We start from the raw sequence: 21,805 nt of genomic DNA on the forward strand, positions 1-21,805 counted from the left end.
CCACCAGGCATCAGCCTCTTCCAGGTTTACATCCCTCAGGATGATATTGAGTGGTTGTGACTGGCCCACAGTTTCAGTGCATCTACTTTATGCAGGTGTGAAAACTGATCAGTACGAAGCTGTCAGCTATTTTTTTATTGAGCAATTTGGAGGTTAAGAAAAGTGATAGAGGCTGGGCGCAGTGGCTCATGCCTGTAATCCCAGCACTTGGGGAGGCCAAGGTACTCGGGAGGCTGAGGCAGGAGAATCACTTGAACCCAGGAGGTGGAAGTTGCAGTGAGCAGAGATCACGCCACTGCCCTCCAGCCTGGGCAACAAAGCAAGGCTCTGGCTTAAAGAAAGAAGAAAAGGGAAGAGAAGCAGAGAGGAGGGGAGGGGAGGGGAGGGGAGGGCAGGGCAGGGCAGGGCAGGACAGGGCAGGGCAGGGAAGGGCAGGGAAGGGAAGGGAAGGGAAGGGAACGGAAGAGAAGGGAAATATTAATAACAAGTGTTGGCAAAGATGTAGAGGAACTGGAACTCTTGTACCTTGCTGGTGAAAATGTAAAATGGTACAGATACTGTGGGAAACAGTACCGCAGTTCCTTAAAAAATTTAACAAATTAAATAACTTAAATAAATTAAATAATTAATAACTCATTAAATAAATTACTCTATGATCCAACAATTCCACTTCTAGGTATATGCCCAAAAGAACTGAAAACAGGGACTCAAGCAGATATTTGTACACCCGTGTTTGCAACAGCATTACTCACAAGAGCCAAAACATAGAAGCAACCCGAGTGTCCATCAATGGATGAGTGAGTAAACCGAATGTGGCATATACACACTATGGAATATTATTCCGCTTGAAAAAGGAAGGAAATGCTGACGGCTGCTGCAGTGTGAATGAACTTTGGAAACATTACGCTAAGTGAAGCAAGCTAGCTATGAAAGGACAAATACTGCATGATTCCACTTACAGTACGTACCTAAAGTAGCCAAATTCATAGAGAAAGAAAGTAGAAAGTTGCCAGGAGCTGGGGAGTTATTGTCTAGTGGGCACAGAGTTTTAGTTTGAGAAGATAAAAAAGTTCTGGAGATGCATAATGGTGATTGTTGCCAAAAAATATGAACGTACTCAATGCCACCAAACTGTACCACTTAACTGAAAAATGATTACAAGAGGAAATTTTTGTTATATATATTTTAAATTTAAAAAGAAAGGTGATCCTTGTCTAGGGCAGTCCCAGTTTATATTTTTGGCCTGGAATACTTAATATTAGCAGCCCCTCTCCTCTTACTTAAGAACTTAAGTGACTATGTCCCAAACTGGACAACAGATAGTATAATCACTCTAAGATTAAATAACTATTCAGTATCATCTCATTAGAATATGGCAGAGGTATGCTTCTTATCCTCAAATCTGTCTGATTCCAGAGCCCATGTTCTTCACCACCACACATCCTGCAGAATTGCTAATGATGCTGCTCGCTGGCCTACATCAGGTTTGCCACTATTTATTGTGTCAACTCTGCTGACTTACATGGAGCACTGAGGTGCTACCTACTTAGTAAGAAACACTGGCCGGGCACGGTGGCTCACACCTGTAATCCCAACACTTTGGGAGGCTGAGGTGGGTGGATCACCTGAGGTCAGGAGTTCAAGACCAGCCTGACCAACACTGCGAAACCCTGTCTCTACTGAAAATACAAAAATTAGCCGGATGTGGTGGTGCATGCCTGTAATTCCAGCTAGTTGGGAGGCTGAGACAGGAGAATCACTTGAACCTGGGAAGCAGAGGTTGCAGTGAGCCAAGATCACGCCATTGCACTCCAGCCTGGGTGACAGGAGCAAAATTCTGTCACAGCAAAACTCCGTCAAAAAAAAAAAAAGAAAAGAAAAAAGAAACATTGATTCTCTTAATGCTAATCAAAAGAAATGCTTATATATTTTTTAAAAAGGAGAACGGGGATGAGCAAAGAATAGAAACATCACAGACCGATGAACAGAACATCTTCTGGTATAATCCATGGGTTTTAGTAATCGAATGGTGCAATAGCATCAGGGCCAAAAGCAGGTGGATACAAAACCAACACCAAAACCAGTCACTCCATGACTCAGTTGACACAGGGTGAGTAATGATCAGCAAACATAGACCGGAGTGTCTACTCGAGGCAGGAAGCCAATAACTGCTTGGGAACTTTGTCTTTGACCAAAGAGGTTCCACTGACGCTCTTTCTAAACTCACTGGAGAGCCTGGAGTAATGTTTCTAGTCATGCAGGTTTCTGGGTCACACCGACCTGAGCTGGGATCCCAATGCTCCCAGTCACTTCCTCCAACACTTTGTACCAGTGACAAAGTCTCTAATCATCTGAGTCAAAATGCCTCTTTCATAGGGTTACCGTGAGGATTCAGTATTTGTCTGGAGAACATGAAGCATGTTGCTTAGCATACAGGGTAATATTCTATAAATATTATTACCTAGAAAATAGAGTGCAAGAACCCTTGATTCTCAGATCCTAGTAAGCTTGTTTATTCTCTCCCTCCACCCTGCCCCAAATCCTCTAAACCCAAATAGTCACTAGCAAAGTAAAAGAAAGAATAAATGCATTCAAGAATCCAGATAATCTGGACCTCAAAGAAAGAAGCCTTCGGAGGATCCCAAAATTATCTAGAAAATCGCTTCCCTTTTCCAGTTATTTTGCTCCTCCGTGGTTGGGGTAAAACTTGCAGTCCTATCTCCAAATGTAGCCAATGTTCACCCACTTCTGGAAAAATCAGATGGCCCCGAAAGAGTGGGCTTTGTCCAATTCTTGGGGACATATTGAGACACAGTAATGCAGAGCCAGACTGGAGTATCTCAGTTTCTGAGTGCTTAAGCATTATGTGGCTGGTCCACGATCAGTTCAACCCCCCTTTCCCTGTTTCTCCCACCCAATATTCCAATCAACTCTGTTTTGTTGTCCCTTTTTGTATTAGGGATATGATAGGCTAAGTGTATGACCCAGACATTGGAGACAGCCCCTGGGGGAAGGTCTGTTCCTATCTTAAACATTTTTAAGGAAGTGTTTACAATGTCTGGCAATACCCTAGCAGGTAGTCTTCACGTACTGGGGGCAAATAAATTATAAATGAGGATCATTTATGTGTCTGCCTCTGTAGTTTTAATTTTTTGCTTTTATTTTTAGTTGACATGTAGTAATTGTATGTATTTATGAAGTATTGCCTCTGTAGTTTTAAAAAAATAAAATTTAGCTGCTCCCAGGGGGTTTGGCCAAGTGTGGTTTTCAGAGATCACTCCAGCCACACAAGCATCTGGTGACCATGTGGTTCCTGCTGATGAGTGACAGGCAGGCAGACACATGTCATGAGAGGTATATGCATTTGTCAGCATACAATTACTTAATAGCCTTAAAGGATAAGCGTAGAATTTCTGTCACTCATTATGCCAAATAAACATCACCAGTTTTTGAACCAAAACAGTACTTGAAAGAGTTTATGAGAATGATCTGATAGTTAGTGTATTAGTCTATTTTCATGCTGCTGATAAAGACATACCCCAGACTGAGAAATTTACAAAAGAAAGAGGTTTAATTGGACTTACAGTTCCACGTGGCTGGGGAAGCCTCACAATCATGGCAGAAGGCAAGGAGGAGCAAGTCACATCTTACATGGATGGCAGCAGGCAAAGAGAGAGAACTTGTGCAGGAAAACTCCTCTTTTTAAAAACCATCAGATCTCATGACACTTATTCACTATCAAGAGAACAGCATGGGAAAGACTTGCCCCCATGATTGAATTACCTCCCCCCATGTCCATCCCACAACATGTGGGAATTCAAGGTGAGATTTGAGTGGGGACACAGCCAAACCATATCAGTTAGCATACATCTCCTTAACCAAAAATGTAAGAGCAGCCAGTCACAATGGCTCATGCCTGCAATCCAATGCTTTGGGAGGCCAAGGCAGAAGAATTGCTGGAGCCCAGGAGGTCGAGGCTATCATGAGCTATGATTGCACCTCTGTACTGAAGCCTGGGCAACAGAATAAGACCTTGTCACCAAAAAAAAAAAAAAAAAAAAAAAAAATTAAGGCTTTTTTAGGAGAGTCAAAATGTGAAAGCTATGTACAAACTCCTAAAGGAACTGCCAAACCATAGAAAGAGGCACTAAAACAGGTCAGAGAACACTAAACAAAGTGAAGAAGGGATGGAACAGAGTAGAATGAAATATTTTGGAGGTAATAAAACAGAAGCCCAGGAAATAAGTCTTAACAAGCTGCAATCACCATGGAAAAGCATAACTTGGGAAAAATGTGTGTTGTGCCTGGAAACACTTTCTGAAACGTGGTCACCATCCTCAGACCAAATGTAGCTGTCATCCCACTGATATGAAAATCCCTTTCGTACTCATTGGCACCAACAAGACACAGAGACAGGCTTATGAGCAGACTTTGCTTATACATTTTGAAATCTATATTGAATCACAAACAATATCTGTTCCTTTCTCTCCATTTCAATCCTGATACTCATTATATATCTCTGGAGCCATAAAGCCAGATTCAAATCCTGCATCCAAACTCAACAGCTGTGTGCCCTTGGATAAGTTGCTTAAAATGGAAATAATAATGGTGCCTGCTTCAGTGAGTTGTTGTTAAAGAGGACACAGTTAACATATGCAAAGTGGTTAGAACAGTGCCTGGCACTATTTTCATTATTATTAATATCTTAGAGAATAAGTTCACTCAGTATTACAATTATTAAATAATAAGTTGTATCCATATTTCATTAACAATTATTAAGCTCCCTAGAGCAGAGCACGTTATGTAAAGCACAACTACTTTAATGAAAATGAACATAAGGATAATGATTTAGGAACATTGAGGCTGTTTACTACTTCTTAGGCAAACATAATGTACTTTATGGCATCATTCAAAGACAAGAGCAATAATTTTTCCACTACTTAGAGGTTTGCAAATGCATCATTTCTTCTGCTGAAGGTCTGTTTTCCATCAGCTCCAGAAGCCTTATGTAAATGAAGGTGGATTCTGTCTATGAGATTTAAATAATGTTGTTTTGTATTTTTTTGACACCAAATGACTTTAAGCTAATGCCTTTGTTTCATTATTTGCTCTTCTATATATATTTTTTTCCTGACTTTTTTTCAGTTTGGAACACTGTAAATTTAGCCTTAATTATTTGTGGTCCTTCCTCTACCAGCTTCAGATTCCAAGGAGAATGCAGATTGTACATACACTGTCTTGAATTTATTTGTTATCATTCAGAGAATTCCAAATATGGACATTCCTAGGTCTTTTGTGCTATTTCTACTCAAGGAAAAACATTATGTTCCATTTTTCTTAATACCTTTCTTGAGCTTCTAAATTGTATCATACAAAAAATATCTAGGGTTCCTTGTTCCTTAGTAAGTGAAATTTGGTTTTCTTCCAAAACCAGAATACTTTTTTTTTAATTAAAATCTGTACCAATTTTATCCTGTGTGGAAAAGAAAATAAGCAATAGTAGTAAATATGGAACTCATTCAAAGTTAAAACAATCCCCGTCTAGCTTCCCTCTTTCACCTTCTAAATCAATGGTGAGTTCATTTTTCAATTATCTTGGACAAAACAACAATAATCATAACTAGTAGTAGTCCTTGCTATAAACGTCTTTACATATCAATAGCTCATAGGCATATTTTATTTTATTTTAAGCTATCTCCTACTGGAAAGAAAACATATTTATTTAGCTGGCATATTTTTTAATTGAGTTATTTGAAAATCTGGACATTTTATATGAAAATCTGGATTTTCAGCTTCTTTTGAAAAATTAAAAATTCCAGTATTTGTGGGTCCACATTCTCAACATGGCGAGTGGGTTCACATTCTCAACATGGCAAGCAGCTATCTAGAGCTTAACAGCTGCTCCCATTAAAAGCAGTATGAGTTTCCAATGCCATTCAATATGTGGGGTGAAGGGCAGGGGGTACCCACTTCCCTCACTGATGTTATTGCCTAGTTCCTGGAGAGATCTGAGATTGCAACCTCTGTTCTCCACCTTGAAGTGTTTTTCCTAGTTTCCCAAGAATGAAGTGATATAGTTTGGCTGTGTCCCCACAAATCTCACTTTGAATTTTAATTATCCCTACATGTTAAGGGCAGGGTCAGGTGGAGATAACTGAATCATGGGAGCAGTTTCCCCCATTCTGTTCTCGAAGTCTCACAAGATCTGATGGTTTCATACATACGAGTTCCCCTGCACAAGTTCTCTTGCCTGCCACCATGTAAGACATGACTTTGCTCCTCCTTTGCCTTCTGCCATGATTGTGAGGCCTCCCCAGCCATGAGGAACTGTGAATCAATTAAACCTCTTTGCTTTATAAATTACCCAGTCTTGGGTATGTCTTTATTAGCAGCATGAGAACAGACTAATACATGAAGCACTGTCACAATTCCAACATTTCAAATGCACATACTTTGATCCAACAATTCTACTGAAAAAACTACGAAAGGTCATACAAATATATATGGATGTCCACTACAATATTGCTTCCAACAGGAAAAAAAATAAATCAACGTAAATATCAATAGGAACTGGTTGAATAAGTGATGGTGAATCCGTGCAAGAGAATACTAGAGAGTTCCCTGAAGCAAAAAAGTAAATCTAAGCATATTAAAATGGAAATATGTCCAAAATATATTAAGTGGGAAAAAAGCAAAGTACAGAACAGTACATAATATGCGATCCAATCTGTAGGGAAAATGAATTTCAACATTTTAGAAGAAAACATAAGCAACTTTTTTTTTTTTTAGATGAAGTCTTGCTCTGTCACCCAGGCCAGAGTGCAGTGGCGTGATCTTGGCTCACTGCAAACTCTGCCTCCCAGGTTCAAAGCGATTCTCCTGCCTCAGCCTCCTGAGTAGCTGGAATTACAGGTAAGTGCCATCACGCCCGGCTAATTTTTGCATTTTTAGTAAAGACCGGGTTTCACCATGTTGGTCAGGCTAGTCTCAAACTCTGGATCTCGTGAGCCACCCACCTCAGCCTCCCAAAGTGCTGGGATTACAGGCGTTAGCCACCATACCCGGCAACATAAGCAACTTTTAAAAACTACATTACTTTTATACTTTTAAAAGAAGAAAGTGGAAGGGCGCAGTGGCTCACATCTGTAATTCCAGCACTTTAGGAGGCCTAGGCAGGTGGATCACCTGAGGTCAGGAGCTCGAGACCAGACAGACCAACATGGTGAAACCCCGTCTCCACTAAAAATACAAAATTTACCAGGTAGTTAATTAAAAATTAGCCGGGTGTGGTGGCGCATGCCTGTAATCCTAGTTACTCTGGAGGCTGAGGCAGGAGAATCACTTGAAACCAGGAGACGGAGGTTGCAGTGAGCTGAGATCACACCATTGCACTCCAGCCTGGGCAACAAGAGTGAAACTCCGTCTCAAAATAAAAAAAATAAAAAAATTTAAAAAATAAAAAAGAAGAAGGAAGCACTATGAAAAGGTTTATTTCAAATCATTTCATGCATAATTATCATCACGTCTTCATGTTATTTATTTGACTGCCTGTCTTGGTAACAGAGTTCCTGTTCCTCTACAGTCGAGCCTGATTTTATTTCTTAGGCAAGAGGAAGAGGTTATTCCAAGATGGCTGAATAGGAACAGCTCCAGTCTGCAGCTCACGGTGAGATCAACGCAGAAGACGGGTGATTTCTGCATTTCCACCTGAGGTACCTGGCTTATCTCATTGGGACTGGTTAGACAGTTGGTGCAGCCCACAGAGGGCAAGCTGAAGCAGGGTGGGGCGTTGCCTCACAGAGAAAAGCAAGGGGTCAGAGAATTCCCTCTCTTAGCCAAGGGAAGCTGTGAGGGATCGTGCTGTGAGTAATGGTGCACTCCAGCCTAGATACTATGCTTTTAACATGGACTATGCAAGCTGCAGACCAGGAGATTCTCTTGGGTGCCTATGCCACCAGGGCCCTGGGTTTCAAGCATAAAACGAAGTGGCCGGTTCACCAGACACCGAGCTAGCTACAAGAGTTTTTTTTCATACCCCAGTGGCAGTGGAACACCAGCGACACAGAATCATTTACTCCCCTGGAAAGGGGCTGAAGCCAAGAAACCAAAGGGGCTGGCTCAGCAGATCCCACTCCCATGGAGCCCAGCAAGCTAAGATCCACTGGCTTGAAATTCTCGCTGCCAGCACAGCAGTCTGAAGTTGACCTGGGATGCTCGAGCTTGGTTGGGGGAGGGGCATCCGCCATTCCTGAGGCTTGGGCAGGCAGTTTTTCCCCTCACAGTGTACACAAAGCCGCTGGGAAGTTTGAACTGGGTGGAGCCACTGCAGTTCAGCAAAGCCACTATGGCAAGACTGCCTCTCTAGATTCCTCCTCTCTGGGCAGGGCATATCAGAAAGAAAGGCAGCAGCCCCAGTCAGGGGCTTATAGATAAAACTCCCATCTCCCTGGGACAGAGCACCTGGGGGAAGGGGTGGCTGTGGGCACAGCTTCAGCAGACTTAAATGTTCCTGCCTGCCGGCTCTGAAGAGAGCAGTGGATCTCCCAGGATGGCCCTCAAGCTCTGCTAAGGGACAGACTGCCTCCTCAAGTGGGTCCCTGACCCCTATGCCTCCTGACCAGGAGACACCTCCCAGCAGGGGTCAACAGATACCTCATACAGGAGAGCTCCTGCTGGTATCTGGTGGGTGCCCCTCTGGGACAAAACTTCCAGAGGAAGGAACAGGCAGCAATCCTTGCTGTTCTACAGCCTCCGCTGGTGATACCCAGGCAAACAGGGTCTGGAGTGTACCTCCAGCAAAATCCAGCAGACCTGCAGCAGAGAGGCCTGACTGTTAGAAGGAAAACTAACAAACAGAAAGGAATAGCATCAACATGAACAAAAAGAGCATCCACACAGAAACCCCATCCACAGGTCACCAATATCAAAGACCGAAGGTAGATAAATCCCCGAAGATGAGGAAGACCAGTGCAAAAAGGCTGGAAAGTCCAAAAACCAGAATGCCTCTTCTCCTCCAAAGGATCACAACTCTTTACCAGCAGGGAACGAAACTGGACAGAGAATGAGTTTGACAAATTGACAGACGTAGACCTCAGAAAGTGGGTAATAACAAACTGCTCCGACCTAAAGGAGCATGTTCTAACCCAATGCAAGGAAGCTAAGAACCTTGAAAAAAGGTTAGAGGAATTGCTAACTACAGTAACCAGTTTAGAGAAGAACGTAAATGACCTAATGGAGGTGAAAAATACAGCAGGAGAACTTCATGAAGCATTCGCAAGTATCAATAGCCAAATCGATCAAGCAGAAGAAAGGATATCAGAGATTGAAGATCAACTTAATGAAATAAAGCATGAAGACAAGATTAGAGAAAAAAGAATGAAAAGGAGTAAAGAAAACCTCCAAGAAATATGGGACTATGTGAAAATACCAAATCTATGTTTGATTGGTATACCTGAAAGTGATGGGGAGAGTGGAACCAAGTTGGAAAACACTCTTCAGGATATTATCCACAAGAACTTCTCCAACTTAGCAAGACAGGCCAACATTCAAATTCAGGAAATACAGAGAACACCACAAAGCTACTCCTCGAGAAGAGCAACTCCAAGACACATAATTATAAGATTCACCAAGGTTGAAATGAAGGAAAAGATGTTAAGGGCAGCCAGAGAGAAAGGTCGGGTTACCCACAAAGGGAAGACCATCAGACTAACAGCGGATCTCTCTGCAGAAACCCCACAAGCCAGAAGAGAGTGGGGGCCAATATTCAACATTCTTGAAGAAAAGAATTTTCAACCCAGAATTTCATATCCAGCCAAAATAAGCTTCATAAGTGAAAGAGAAATACAACCCTGTACAGACAAGCAAATACTGAGAGATTTTGTCATCACCAGGCCTGCCTTACAAGAGCTCCTGAAGGAAGCACTAAATATGAAAGGAAAAACCGGTACCAGCCACTGCAAAAACATACCAAATTGTAAAGACCATCGACACTATGAAGAAACTGCCTCAACTAACGGGAAAAATAACCAGCTAGCATCATAATGATGGGATCAAATTCACACAAAGCAATATTAACCTTAAACGTAAATAGGCTAAATGCCCCAATTAAAAGACACAGACTGGCAAATTGGATAAAGAGTCAAGACCCATCAGTGTGCTATATTCAAGAGACCCATCTTACATGCAAAGACACATATAGGCTCAAAACAAAGGGTTGGAGGAATATTTACCAAGCAAATGGAAAGCAAAAAAAGCAGGGATTGTGATCCTTGTCTCTGATAAAATGGACTTTAAGCCAAAAAAGATCAAAAAAGACGAAGAAGGGCATTACATAATGGTAAAGGGATCAACGCAACAAAAAGAGCTAACTATCCTAAATATGTATGTACCCAATACAGGAGCACCCAGATTCATAAAGCAAATTCCTAGAAACATACAAAGAGACTTAGATTCCCACACAATAATAGCGGGAGACTTTAACACCCCACTGTCAATATTAGATAGATCAACGAGACAGAAAATTAACAAGGATATACAGGAGTTAAACTCAGCTCTGGAACAAGCAGACCTAATAGACATGTACAGAACTCTCCAACCCAAATCAACAGAATATACATTCTTCTCAGCACCACATCACACTTATTCTAAAATTGACCACATAATTGGAAGTAAAACACTCCTCAGCAAATGCAAAAGAACAGAAATCGTAACGGTCTCTCAGACCACAGTGCAATCAAATTAGAACTCAGGATTAAGAAACTCACTGAAAACCACAAAACTACATGGAAACTGAACAACCTGTTGTTTAATGACTACTGGGTAAATAACAAAATTAAGGCAGAGATAAATAAGTTCTCTGAAACCAATGAAAACAAAGACACAATGTACCAGAATCTCTGGCACTCAGCTAAAGCAGTGTTTAGAGGGAAATTTATAGCACTAAATGTGCATAGGAGAAAGCAGGAAAGACCTAAAATTGACACCCTAACATCACAATTAAAAGAACTAGAGAAGCAAGAGCAAACAAATTCAAAAGCTAGCAGAGGACAAGAAATAACTAAGATCAGAGCAGAATTGAAGGAGGTAGAGACACGAAAAACCGTTCAAAAAAAAAAAATCAATGAATCCAGGAGCTGGCTTTTTGAAAAGATTAACAAAACAGATAGACAACTAGCAAGACTAATGAAGAAAAGAGAGAATAACCAAACAGATGCAATGAAAAATGATAAAGGTGAGATCACCACCGATCCCACAGAAATACAAACTACCCGTCAGAAAATACTATAAACACCTCTATGCAAATAAACTAGAAAATCTGGAAGAAATGGATAAATTCCCGGACACATACACACTCCTAAGACTAAACCAGGAGGAATTTGAATCCCTGAATAGACCAATAACAAGTTCTGAAATTGAGGCAGTAATTAATAGCCTACCAACCAAAAAAAGCCCAGGACCAGACGGATTCACAGCCAAATTCTACCAGAGGTACAAAGAGGAGCTGGTACCATTCCTTCTGAAACTATTAGAAACCACAGAAAAAGAGGGACTCTGCCCTAACTCATTTTATGAGGCCAGCCTCATCCTGATACCAAAACCTGGCAGAGACACAACAAAAAAAGAAAATTTCAGGCCAATCTCCCTGATGAACATCAATGTGAAAATCCTCAATAAAATACTGGCAAACTGAATCCAGCAGCACATCAAAAAGCTTATCCACCACAATCAAGTCAGCTTCATCCCTGGGATGCAAGGCTGGTTCAACATATGCAAATCAATAAACGTAATCCCTCACATAAACAGAACCAATAACAAAAACCACATGATTATCTTAATAGAAGCAGAAAAGGTCTTCAATAAAATTCAACAGCCCTTCATGCTAAAAACTCTCAATAAACTAGGTATTGATGGAATGTATCTCAAAATAATTGATGGAACGTATCTCAAAAGAGCTGTTTATGACAAACCCACGGCCAGTATCACACTGAATGGGCAAAAGCTGGAAGCATTCCCTTTGAAAACCGGCACAAGACAAGGATGCCCTCTCTCACGACTCCTATTCAACATAGTATTGGAAGTTCTGGCCAGGGCAATCAGGCAAGAGAAAGGAATAAAGGTATTCAAATAGGAAGAGAGGAAGTCAAATTGTCTCTGTTTGCAGATGACATAATGGTATATTTAGAAAACCCCATTGTCTCAGCCCAAAATCTCCTTAAGCTGATAAGCAACTTCAGCAAAGTCTCAGGATACAAAATCAATGTGCAAAAATCACAAGCATTCCTGTACACCAATAATAGGTAAACAGAGAGCCAAATCATAAATGAACTCCCATTCACAATTGCCACAAAGAGAATTAAATACCTAGGAATACAACTTACAAGGGATGTGAAAGACCTCTTCAGGGAGAACTACAAACCACTGCTCAAGGAAATAAGAGAGGACACAAACAAACAGAAAAACATTCCATGCTCATGGATAGGAAAAATCAATATCATGAAAATGGCCATACTGCCCAAAGTAATTTATAGATTCAATGCTATCCCCATCAAGCTACCACTGACTTTCTTCACAGAATTAGAAAAAACTACTTTAAATTTCATATGGAACCAAATAAGAGCCCGTATAGCCAAGACAATCCTAGGCAAAAAGAACAAAGCTGGAGACATCATGCTATGCTACCTGACTTCAAACTATATTACAAGGCTACAGTAACCAAAACAACACAGTACTAGTACCAAAGCAGATAATGCAGACCAATAGAACAGAACAGAGGCCTCAGAAGTAACGCCACACATCTAAAACCATCTGATCTTTGACAAACTTGACAAAAACAAGCAATGGGGAAAGGATCTGCTATTTAATAAATGGTGTTGGGAAAACTGGCTAGCCATATGCAGAAAACTGAAACTGGACCCCTTCCTTATACCTTACACAAAAATTAACTCAAGATGGATTAAAGACTTAAACATAAGACCTAAAACCATAAAAACCCTAGGAGAAAACTTAGGCAATACCATTCAGGACATAGGCATGGGCAAAGACTTCATGAATAAAACACCAAAAACAATGGCAACAAAAGCCAAAATTGACAAATGGGATTAAACTAAAGAGCTTCTGCACAGCAAAAGAAACTATCACCAGAGTGAACAGGCAACCTACAGAATGAGAGAAAATTTTTGCAATCTATCTATCTGACAAAGGGCTAATATCCAGAATCTACAAGGAACTTAAATAAATTTATGAGAAAGAAAACAACTCCATCAAAAAGTGAGCAAAGGATATGAACAGACACTTCTCAAAAGAAGACATTTGTGCGGCCAACAAACATATGAAAAAAGCTCATCATCACTGGTCATTAGAGAAATGCAAATCAAAACTACAATGAGATACCATCTCATGCCAGTTAGAATGGCGATCACTAAAAAGTCAGGAAACAACAGATGCTGGAGAGATGTGGAGAAATAGGAACACTTTTACACTGTTGGTGGGAGTGTAAATTAGTTCAACCATTGTGGAAGACAGTGTGGCGATTCCTCAAGGATCTAGAACCAGAAATACCATTTGACCCAGCAATCCCATTACTGGGTATATACCCAAAGGATTATAAATCATTCTACTATAAAGGCACATGCACATGTATGTTTATCGCAACACTGTTCACAAAAGCAAAGATTTGGAACCAACCCAAATGCCCATCAATGATAGACTGCATAAAGAAAATGTGGCACATATACTCCATGGAATACTATGCAGCCATAAAAATGGATGAGTTCATGTCCTTTGCAGGGACATGGATGAAGCTGAAAACCATCATTCTCAGCAAACTAACACAGGAACAGAAAACCAAACACCACATGTTCTCACTCATAAGTGGGAGCTGAAAAATGAGAACACAGGGACACGGGGAGGGGAACGTCACACACTTGGGCCTGTCAGGGGGTGGGGGCCTAGGGGAGGGATGGCATTCGGAGAAATACCTATTGTAGATGACAGGTTGATGGGTGAGCAAACCACCATGGCACGTGTATACCTATGTAACCTGCACATTCTGCAGATGTATCCCAGAACTTAAAGTATAATTTTAAAAAAAAAGAGGGAGAAGAGGGAGAAGGGGAAGAAGAAGGAGAAGAAGAGGAAGAAGAAGAGAAGAAGGAGGGGGAGGAGGAGGAGGAAGCTTCTGGAGGACCCATCACACCAAGCCCAAGGACCAGCACAAAAAAGACACAATGGGCCACTTTAGAAGCTGTGCTTTCCAAGAGGGCTTTGTCGTCCATGTTCCTCTGCTGTCTTCTGAAAAGTAAAGATAAGTGGGAAGAAAGGTGGGAGCTCCTCCAGGGAGAGCTGCCAAATTCAGCTCCAGATACTTTTCCAGCCCCTTTCACATTTGCATGGGGCCCTGGTGAGAGAGAGAGAAAGAGAGAGAGAGAGACACTATACATTATTTCCGTATTGCTGTTACTGTTTTGGGCAGAGTCAGGGGAGAAGAGGAAGAAAAGAGAAGAAATGACTCTGTTCTCACCAGCAGAAACCTTAACTGGTTAATGTAATACAGGAGTGTAAGAATTTGTTCTTTCCACTAAAGAGAAAACAAGGCCACGCATTCCCAATTATATGCTCACAAAGGGCAGCCAGGGAGTGCAGTTCTTGGCAGCAGCAGGATTTATGACTTGCCTTCAGCATTGCCCATCACAGAGGGGATTTTGCTGGGGACATGGGCAGCCAGAGGTAGTGGGTGCTCGGTCACTAGTGGGATGCTACACAGCAGCCACTGAAGGAGTCCCAGTCCACCCTTCCCCAGGCCTCAAGAGCAGAGGCAACTGCCGGCCCTTCCCCCATCCTGTGATCCACATCTCTAACCCCTCCAAAGCATCCAACTCACATCAGAATAAAAGGACCGGGACACATGACACTTCTAAAAGTTATCACCTCCTGCTAAAATATGTTTTTTTGGGAAAAGAAAAGTTACCAATTACCAAAAATAAAGAAACCTCGTTAAGGAAAAGACAAGCTCCACAGCACCTCCACCCACCCCACCCCCCGCCACCAATATACACACTAAACCCAACTATAAGTTTCCCTACCCTGCTCAATTCCTCTACACAAAGAAGCATGCAGTGTATATTTAATACAGGTTTCTCCTCAGAGGTAGCTGATGAACACAGAAGTCAGAAAACCTAACTCAAACATGACTTTCCAAAGAAAGGAGAAAAAAAGTATGATTGTCTTTGCTGTTGTTTTCTTAACTTACAGAGTTCTCTCCTTTTTAATATTCTAGTGTTCTTAAATCAATCACTTTGGATTTAGAGTTATTGTGAGGGTTCAAGGCTTATCACAAGAAGTATCTCAAATAAATAGTGGATCCACTGCTGTCTGATCAGTATGCATAATTTAAGGACCTTTAAACAGGAAAAAAAAAAACTAATTCAGGCTTCACTAATTCAAAATTAGTGATAATGCAAAGTACCCTTCAAACTTCAGTCTGAATCAAGTAAGTGTGGCTTACTAAACAACTGGAAAGATTAGAGATGGACGGTTTAAGCCATTTAAGATGACAAACTATCTTCACACTCTTCAACAGCATTGCCTTGCGTGTAATTTGTGCCATTAAGGTAGGAATTAGAAATGAGCCTTATCTCTATATCAAGCAGGTCAATCAAGACTAGCTATAATTAGCAACCAGTGATAATATATGCTGCTAAAATACCTGCCCTTCATTTCAAACATTTCATCCTTCATTCTTTTTGTTATTTCAAGGGGATCTTCTCAGGAATTACTATTTTTTACTATATAGCATCATCCGCGCACAGCAAGACATCAAAAGGTGCTCACCTCTGAGTCTTTGGCCTGCTGATTACGAATGACTATCAAATTGTACAGGGTTCTGTCGTCGTCTGCCTCTGTGTGGGACACATCATGGGGCATACTCCATAAATTCTTCTCATCATCCCTCACCAGAGTTGCTCCAAATGAGGAATATGGATTGTTATCACTGTTGTATAAAAAAAGGAAAGATTGGGGTTTTATAATATACATAAAATGTTATATGTCATATGCATGCAACATACAATATCAATTAAAACTTATACTATGTAATATATAAATATATTGTCAAAAAGGTCTGAATTGTCTTTAATAATTAAGCATAACACAACAGAGCAGTAAAAACAAACCAAAAATATAAATAAATCACTTTAAAAAGAACAGAGAACAGACGTACCTGAGCAGAGGTAATTACTACAGTTAAATATGAAATTCAGCACTGAGTACCCCAGAAGCTAAGACAACAAAGGAAATTCAATTCTTTTTTTTTTTGAGACAGAGTCTCGCTTCATCACCCAGCATCACCCAGGCTGGAGTGCAGTGGCACGACCTCAGCTCACTACAGCCTCCACCTCTCAGGTTCAAGTGATTCTCCTGCCTCAGCCTACCGAGTACCTGGGATTACAGGCGCCTGCCACCACGCCCGGATAATTCTTTTATTTTTCATAAAGACAGGGTTTTGCCATGTTGGTCAGGCTGGTCTTGAACTCTTGGCCTCAAGTGATCTGTCCACCTTGGCCTCCCGAAGTGCTGGGATTATAGGTGTGAGCCACCGCGCCCAGCCAGGAATAGAATTCTTGTGTGATTAAAAGAAGAAAACAATTAACATGAAGGGATGAATGTTTGACTGGCTCTGAGTTCAAGGAAGCATAGTAAACTTGGAGTACAATGATATATAATAGCTATCAAATTCCTTATGCCAGGAAAATTAAGTAATAAACATGCGTACCCAAAGACTTTCAATAAACAAGGCAGAATGTTGAGTGAGAATTTCAGTAGTCCCATTCTGTACATTTGTTTTATGATTTATGCCTTATAAGGTGGTACCTGGGTGTGGACTTACAGAGAAGATTAGTGACAGAGCATCACATCTGGGGCATGCCTGCACACAGCCCCAGTTAACTTCTGTAACCCCCAGTTGACTTCTGTGGGAAGGACTGGTAGGGTCATACAGAAGCTATTCACTTCATCTAGTAATATGTATAAAGCACTGACTACATGCTAATCACAGGGCTCAATAAAATTGTGAGCAAAACAGACATCATCCCTGTCCTTGGACCTCACTAGAGTCTAGCATGGGAAACACATTAATGAATGATCACATGACTATAAAATAAAAATTGTGATAAGTGCCATTAAGTGGGAGCTCAGGAGGCCATGAGAACATATGCAAGCTGCTAAGAGAAAATCCTTATGAAGGCAGGCGTCAGGTAGGTGTCATGAAGAAGAGGTGCTGGAGCTTTAAGTGGAAAAACAAGAACAGAGTTGCAGGCAGAGGAAACAGCATCTTCAAAGGCCTGGGGTGGAAGGAAACAGGAAATGTTAAGATGTCAATATGGGATGCTCAGAAGTTGGCACTAAGGAAATTTTGCAACAGGAAGCAGAGTGCCAGTCCCCAGATTGGGGTTCAGCAGCAGGAACCCACCCAGCTAGGGAGGGGCTCCAGCCCTAGAGTGATGAGGTACAGGTCAGACTGCCAATCACCGCCTCAAATTTTGGAAGACAGGGCCGGGCACGGTGGCTCACGCCTGTGATCCCAACACTTTGGGAGGCTGAGGCAGGTGGATCACCTGAAGTCAGGAGTTCAAGACCAGCATGGCCAACATGGCAAAACCCCATCTCTACTAAAAATACAAAAATTAGCCAGGTGTGGTGATACATGCCTGTAATCCCAGCTACTCGGGAGGCTGAGGCAGGAAAATCGCTTGAACCGGGGAGGCAGAGGTTGCAGTGAGCTGAGATCGCGCCATTGTACTCCAGTCTGGGCGACAAGAGCAAAACTCCATCTCACAAAAAAAAAAAAAAATAATAATAATAATAATAATAATAATTGGGACAACAACCAGGGCCCACTTACAAAAACTAGGGCAAAAGGTGGGACAGAATCTTGGAACCAAGGCTAGCAGGAGACCAGCTACCTGAATCAGCATGGGGTTTAGAGACTGAATATTGAACAGTGCTCCTGAAATCCTTGTGGCTGCAGGTCAGAAGTTTAGGGTCTGGGACTGAACAAAGTACCTGGCCCTATGGGGAAAGGTGCAGATGATGGGAAATCAGACACAGCTCAGGCACACTATGCTCAGAACCACGCTGTTTTTACTGATTAATACCACAAAAGCTAGAACACAGGCAGCCCCACAGCCTGACTCTTCCTAAGAATGATGAACCAGTGAAAGAGGAGGAAAATGATGCCTTTGGGCCCTGCCCATGTGAACTTTTATGAGCATGTCAAATTCATTCATTTCATTCATTCCATTGTTTGTTTATTCAACAAATGTGGAATAAATGCCTGCTGTATACTGAGTACCGGGCTGGGTGCCATGGGGACATGAAGATAAATAGGACATTGTCTCTGCCCTTAACATAACTATAATGCAATGAGATCAGTACATTTTTTTAAAAAAAGTCTACACAGATTGTTGTAGGAACAAACAGGAAGAAGTGATACGTTATGTATGATGAGAAGGAAGTTCAAGAACTAACCAGACCTGAGGACTGAACAGGCTTCCACCAGGAAGAGAAACAAGGGCAGAGTTATTCCTTGTAGAAGGATCAGCTCAAGCCAAAGCAGTATATGGAGGCTTCAGGAGCCCACGGGGTTGGGGAATCGAAGTATTCCTGCATGACTGCAGCACGTGGTGTGCGGAGCAAGGAAAATGGAGAGACATGAAGAAGAAAAGGTAACGTGGGGTCAGACTAAAAGTAGTGCTGGTGTCCAAGCTTCATTCTGTGAACTGCAACATTATCAACAGGATTTTGAGCCCTGTCAGGTCTGGATTTTAGAGAAATAACTCTGGGTGAAGGAAGAACAAGAAGATGGCTTAGGAGGGTGTCACAATCAACTGTCACACGGGAGTAGGTGTAATTTTCAAGCCATGCTCTTTGAGGTCCTGGTGTCAGGGGGCCTTGGGACCACAGTGGGGCAGAAGTAGAGAAAGAGATGGGCAGGGCTTCTCTGGAAGAGATAGAAAGAAGCCCATGAACCAACCACAACCAGAGCAGCTTCTCCATTCAAATAGTCTTTGTTAGAGCTAGAAGGAAGATTGTTTGAGGTACAGGAAAAATGGGGTTCTACTGCTAAACAAATACATAATTTTGAACATTCTGAAATTATGATTGAGATAAAAGTAAGCGAGGTTGAGAGCGAGGGAAATAGCAGTGAGAGTGGAAATGAGGACCGATTCCAGCAGCATCAGAGAGCGGGTGACAGCAGCCCATGGTGGGAGGCACAGAGGTACCAGCGAAGGTGACGCCTTCAACTGTAACACATGGGGCAGAAGCCACGGCTGACATGATGAGCCTGCAGGATGTTCAGGGAGATGTCAGGGATCTGGGTTTAGGAGCAAGGACAGGGTAGAGATCTAGATGTGGGAGCAATACGCAGCATTTCATGGCATCACAGAAGCAGGTCAGAGAATCAGAAGAATGGTCTTACGGGATTTGGAGAAGGAAGAGAATAGGTGAGTCAAGAAAGAGAGATCAGGCAGGACAAACAGCAGGTGGACACCGGAGAAGTGTCGATAACATGAAAGATGCTGACTCCAATTTCTTTCTGCAGCCAATGATATGCAACCACTGCATAATATATTCAGGGCTTGAGCCAAGGGCTCCTGCATTCCACCCCTCACGTTACACAAGCATCTAAGGTAAGAAGGATGGGTGGCATTGGCCTACTTTGCAGATAGGGACAAGAATACTGCAGTGCTTGACTTCTTCTGGGCCAGACAGCCAGCTGACAGTCCCCCCAACATGAGTTCCTGGGTGGGGATCTCGGAGGAGCCACTGTTATATAACTCAACATCCAAATGCTGTGACAGGGATGCACTCACAGTGAAGTAGCTCAGATAATAACTACCTGTGTGGATGCTCCCTGTACAAACCAGCAGGTTCCCCTGTGGCTTGTCCCCAGGATGCACTCTCCTTGAGTCACCCAGACCTGGCACAGAGCTTCCACCAAGAGCTGCAACCATGGCTTCCAACATCACAATAACTGCACCTCTGGAGCAATGAAACCCTGGTACTTTTCCTGGCATTGGTCTTCCATCTTCCCCCAGATGTGTTTCATTTCTATGTCTTGTCTCCTCAACAGGTGGGTCAGTTCCTCTAGGGCAGGGGTTGTATCCAGTATTTCTTCTACATTTCTACATTTCTTCCCCACATCACCTAGCAGGGTCCTAGGACACAGCAGTTGCCTTAAAAGTACTTGTTGAACGCAACAAACTGTGCTGTGATCCCAATCTGCTGAAGGAAATCCCAGACATAACTCATGGTTACCGCCTTTTAAAAATTTCCCTAAAGCAGGAGCTTTAGAAAGGAGCCAGTATGTACCTGAAAAATCAGTAAAAATAACGTTAGACCATGAATAATCTAGCCACCTTTTACTTTACTAAGCCACAATTTATTTTCCTATTTTAAAATGACGATCTCAGCTGCCTCCCTGGCCAATTCCCAACCCTCTCACAACCTCTCTCTCTGTCTCTCTGTCCCTCCTCTCTCTAGCTGTCTCTGTCTCTCTTTCCTGTCTCTTGCTCTCTCTCACTATCACTTCTTTTCCTCTTTATTTCTCCTCTCCTCTCTCTAGCTGTCTCTGCATCTCTGTCTTTCCTCTCTTTTTCTCGCTTATCACATCCATCCACACACATACATGCATGACTTCAGCCAGCATAAAACACCAGCCTCTCGTCCTTAATCCACAAGCCCAAGTAAAGCTCTATAGGAAGGTCAACCCCAGCCTGTTTAGAAGTGCCCATGTCTCCAGAAGGTGAGTGCCTCCTGGGTTCTCACCATATCTAGCCCTGCCCTAATTAGAAGCAGTATTCCCCTAACAAGCCTCCAACTCTGCCTAGCCACTGATATTCAGGGGATGATGTAAATCAGGAAAGAGAACCAACCGCTGTGCCCCTGGACCGGCAATGCCTCCCAGCAGTGGTATTCTCTGCGAGCTCCTGGGCCCTCCCCAGCAGGATCTGACCTGCTCGTGGCTACGAAGCAGCCTCCTCCACTCTGCCCCTCTGCCTCTCCAGACCCAGACCTGGCTCCTGCTTTGTTCTTATTCAGTAATTGCAAGCTTTCTTTGGGGCATAGGAAAGGTGGGGTGCCACTGTTAAATAAATAAACAAAGAACTTTTTTCAAAATATTAGTGAAAATGCGCAGGGGCTGTGAGCTCATTCAGCAGCATCAGAAGCATCTGTGAGAGTTGGCCTGGCTCACCAGATCCTGGGTCCCGTTCTCTGGGCCTGCCCCTTTCACTCCTGCACAGCCACCAGGTCAAGGTATCAAGCCACATTGTTTTAAAACTTTTAACCCTTTGGACAGAGAAACTAGAACAGAGAGAAGCCTACAGCAAATGGCCTAAAGAGAAGCACCTTTGGAACCTCTATGTATCCCAGACCACGAAGGGCTCTGGGGCCTGTGTCAACAGAATTTAGTGCAAAGGCCTGGGGGTCTGGGCCTGAAAACCCCTGGGAGGACAGATGGCGGGAAACAGACCATAAGTCAGAAGGTTCCCTTTCTCTCCCTCCCCCATATCATGAGTTCTAAAAGGCTCTAAAGAAAGTGAGAGTGGTTGTGTTTCCCCTGGCCACCACCTGCTGATGATAAATATTTTATTAACATCAGGCATTTGAGAGGTGGCTCTGATATTACACACTAAGCTGCTTTTACTCTCAAAAGGTAGGGTAAGATTTCACCCTTAATCCCACCCAGGGGCTCAAGACCCAATCAATCCAGAGTCTTTTCTTTCAACATGATATAAAAAAGAGACAA

The 21,805-nt window shown here is 42.4% G+C and overlaps 1 protein-coding gene across 9 annotated transcripts in view, besides 2 other annotated features; it reads right to left on the bottom strand.

Annotated features, from left to right (window-relative positions):
• Window positions 1-21,805, bottom strand: part of MREG (melanoregulin) — a 94,789-nt gene that overhangs the window by 41,170 nt on the left and 31,814 nt on the right. For all 9 annotated transcript variants that reach the window (XR_001738843.2, XR_007078319.1, XR_001738842.2 and 6 more), the window contains exon 2: window positions 15,829-15,988. Coding sequence is in view for 4 of the 9 variants with exons in the window: in NM_018000.3 (NP_060470.2) it covers window positions 15,829-15,988 (160 nt within the window). In the remaining 5 variants the exon portion in view is untranslated. The remainder of the gene's footprint in view (window positions 1-15,828; window positions 15,989-21,805) is intronic.
• Window positions 2,205-2,274: a silencer, noted in NCBI's record as "silent region_12301". NCBI's record gives its function as "represses an Ori minimal core promoter by ATAC-STARR-seq in GM12878 lymphoblastoid cells {active_cell/tissue: GM12878}" and the evidence as "EXISTENCE:reporter gene assay evidence [ECO:0000049][PMID:35858748]".
• Window positions 21,254-21,413: an enhancer, noted in NCBI's record as "active region_17077". NCBI's record gives its function as "activates an Ori minimal core promoter by ATAC-STARR-seq in GM12878 lymphoblastoid cells {active_cell/tissue: GM12878}" and the evidence as "EXISTENCE:reporter gene assay evidence [ECO:0000049][PMID:35858748]".

The sequence above is a fragment of the Homo sapiens genome, chromosome 2 (genome assembly GCF_000001405.40).
Source record: "Homo sapiens chromosome 2, GRCh38.p14 Primary Assembly".
Taxonomy (NCBI): domain Eukaryota; kingdom Metazoa; phylum Chordata; class Mammalia; order Primates; family Hominidae; genus Homo; species Homo sapiens.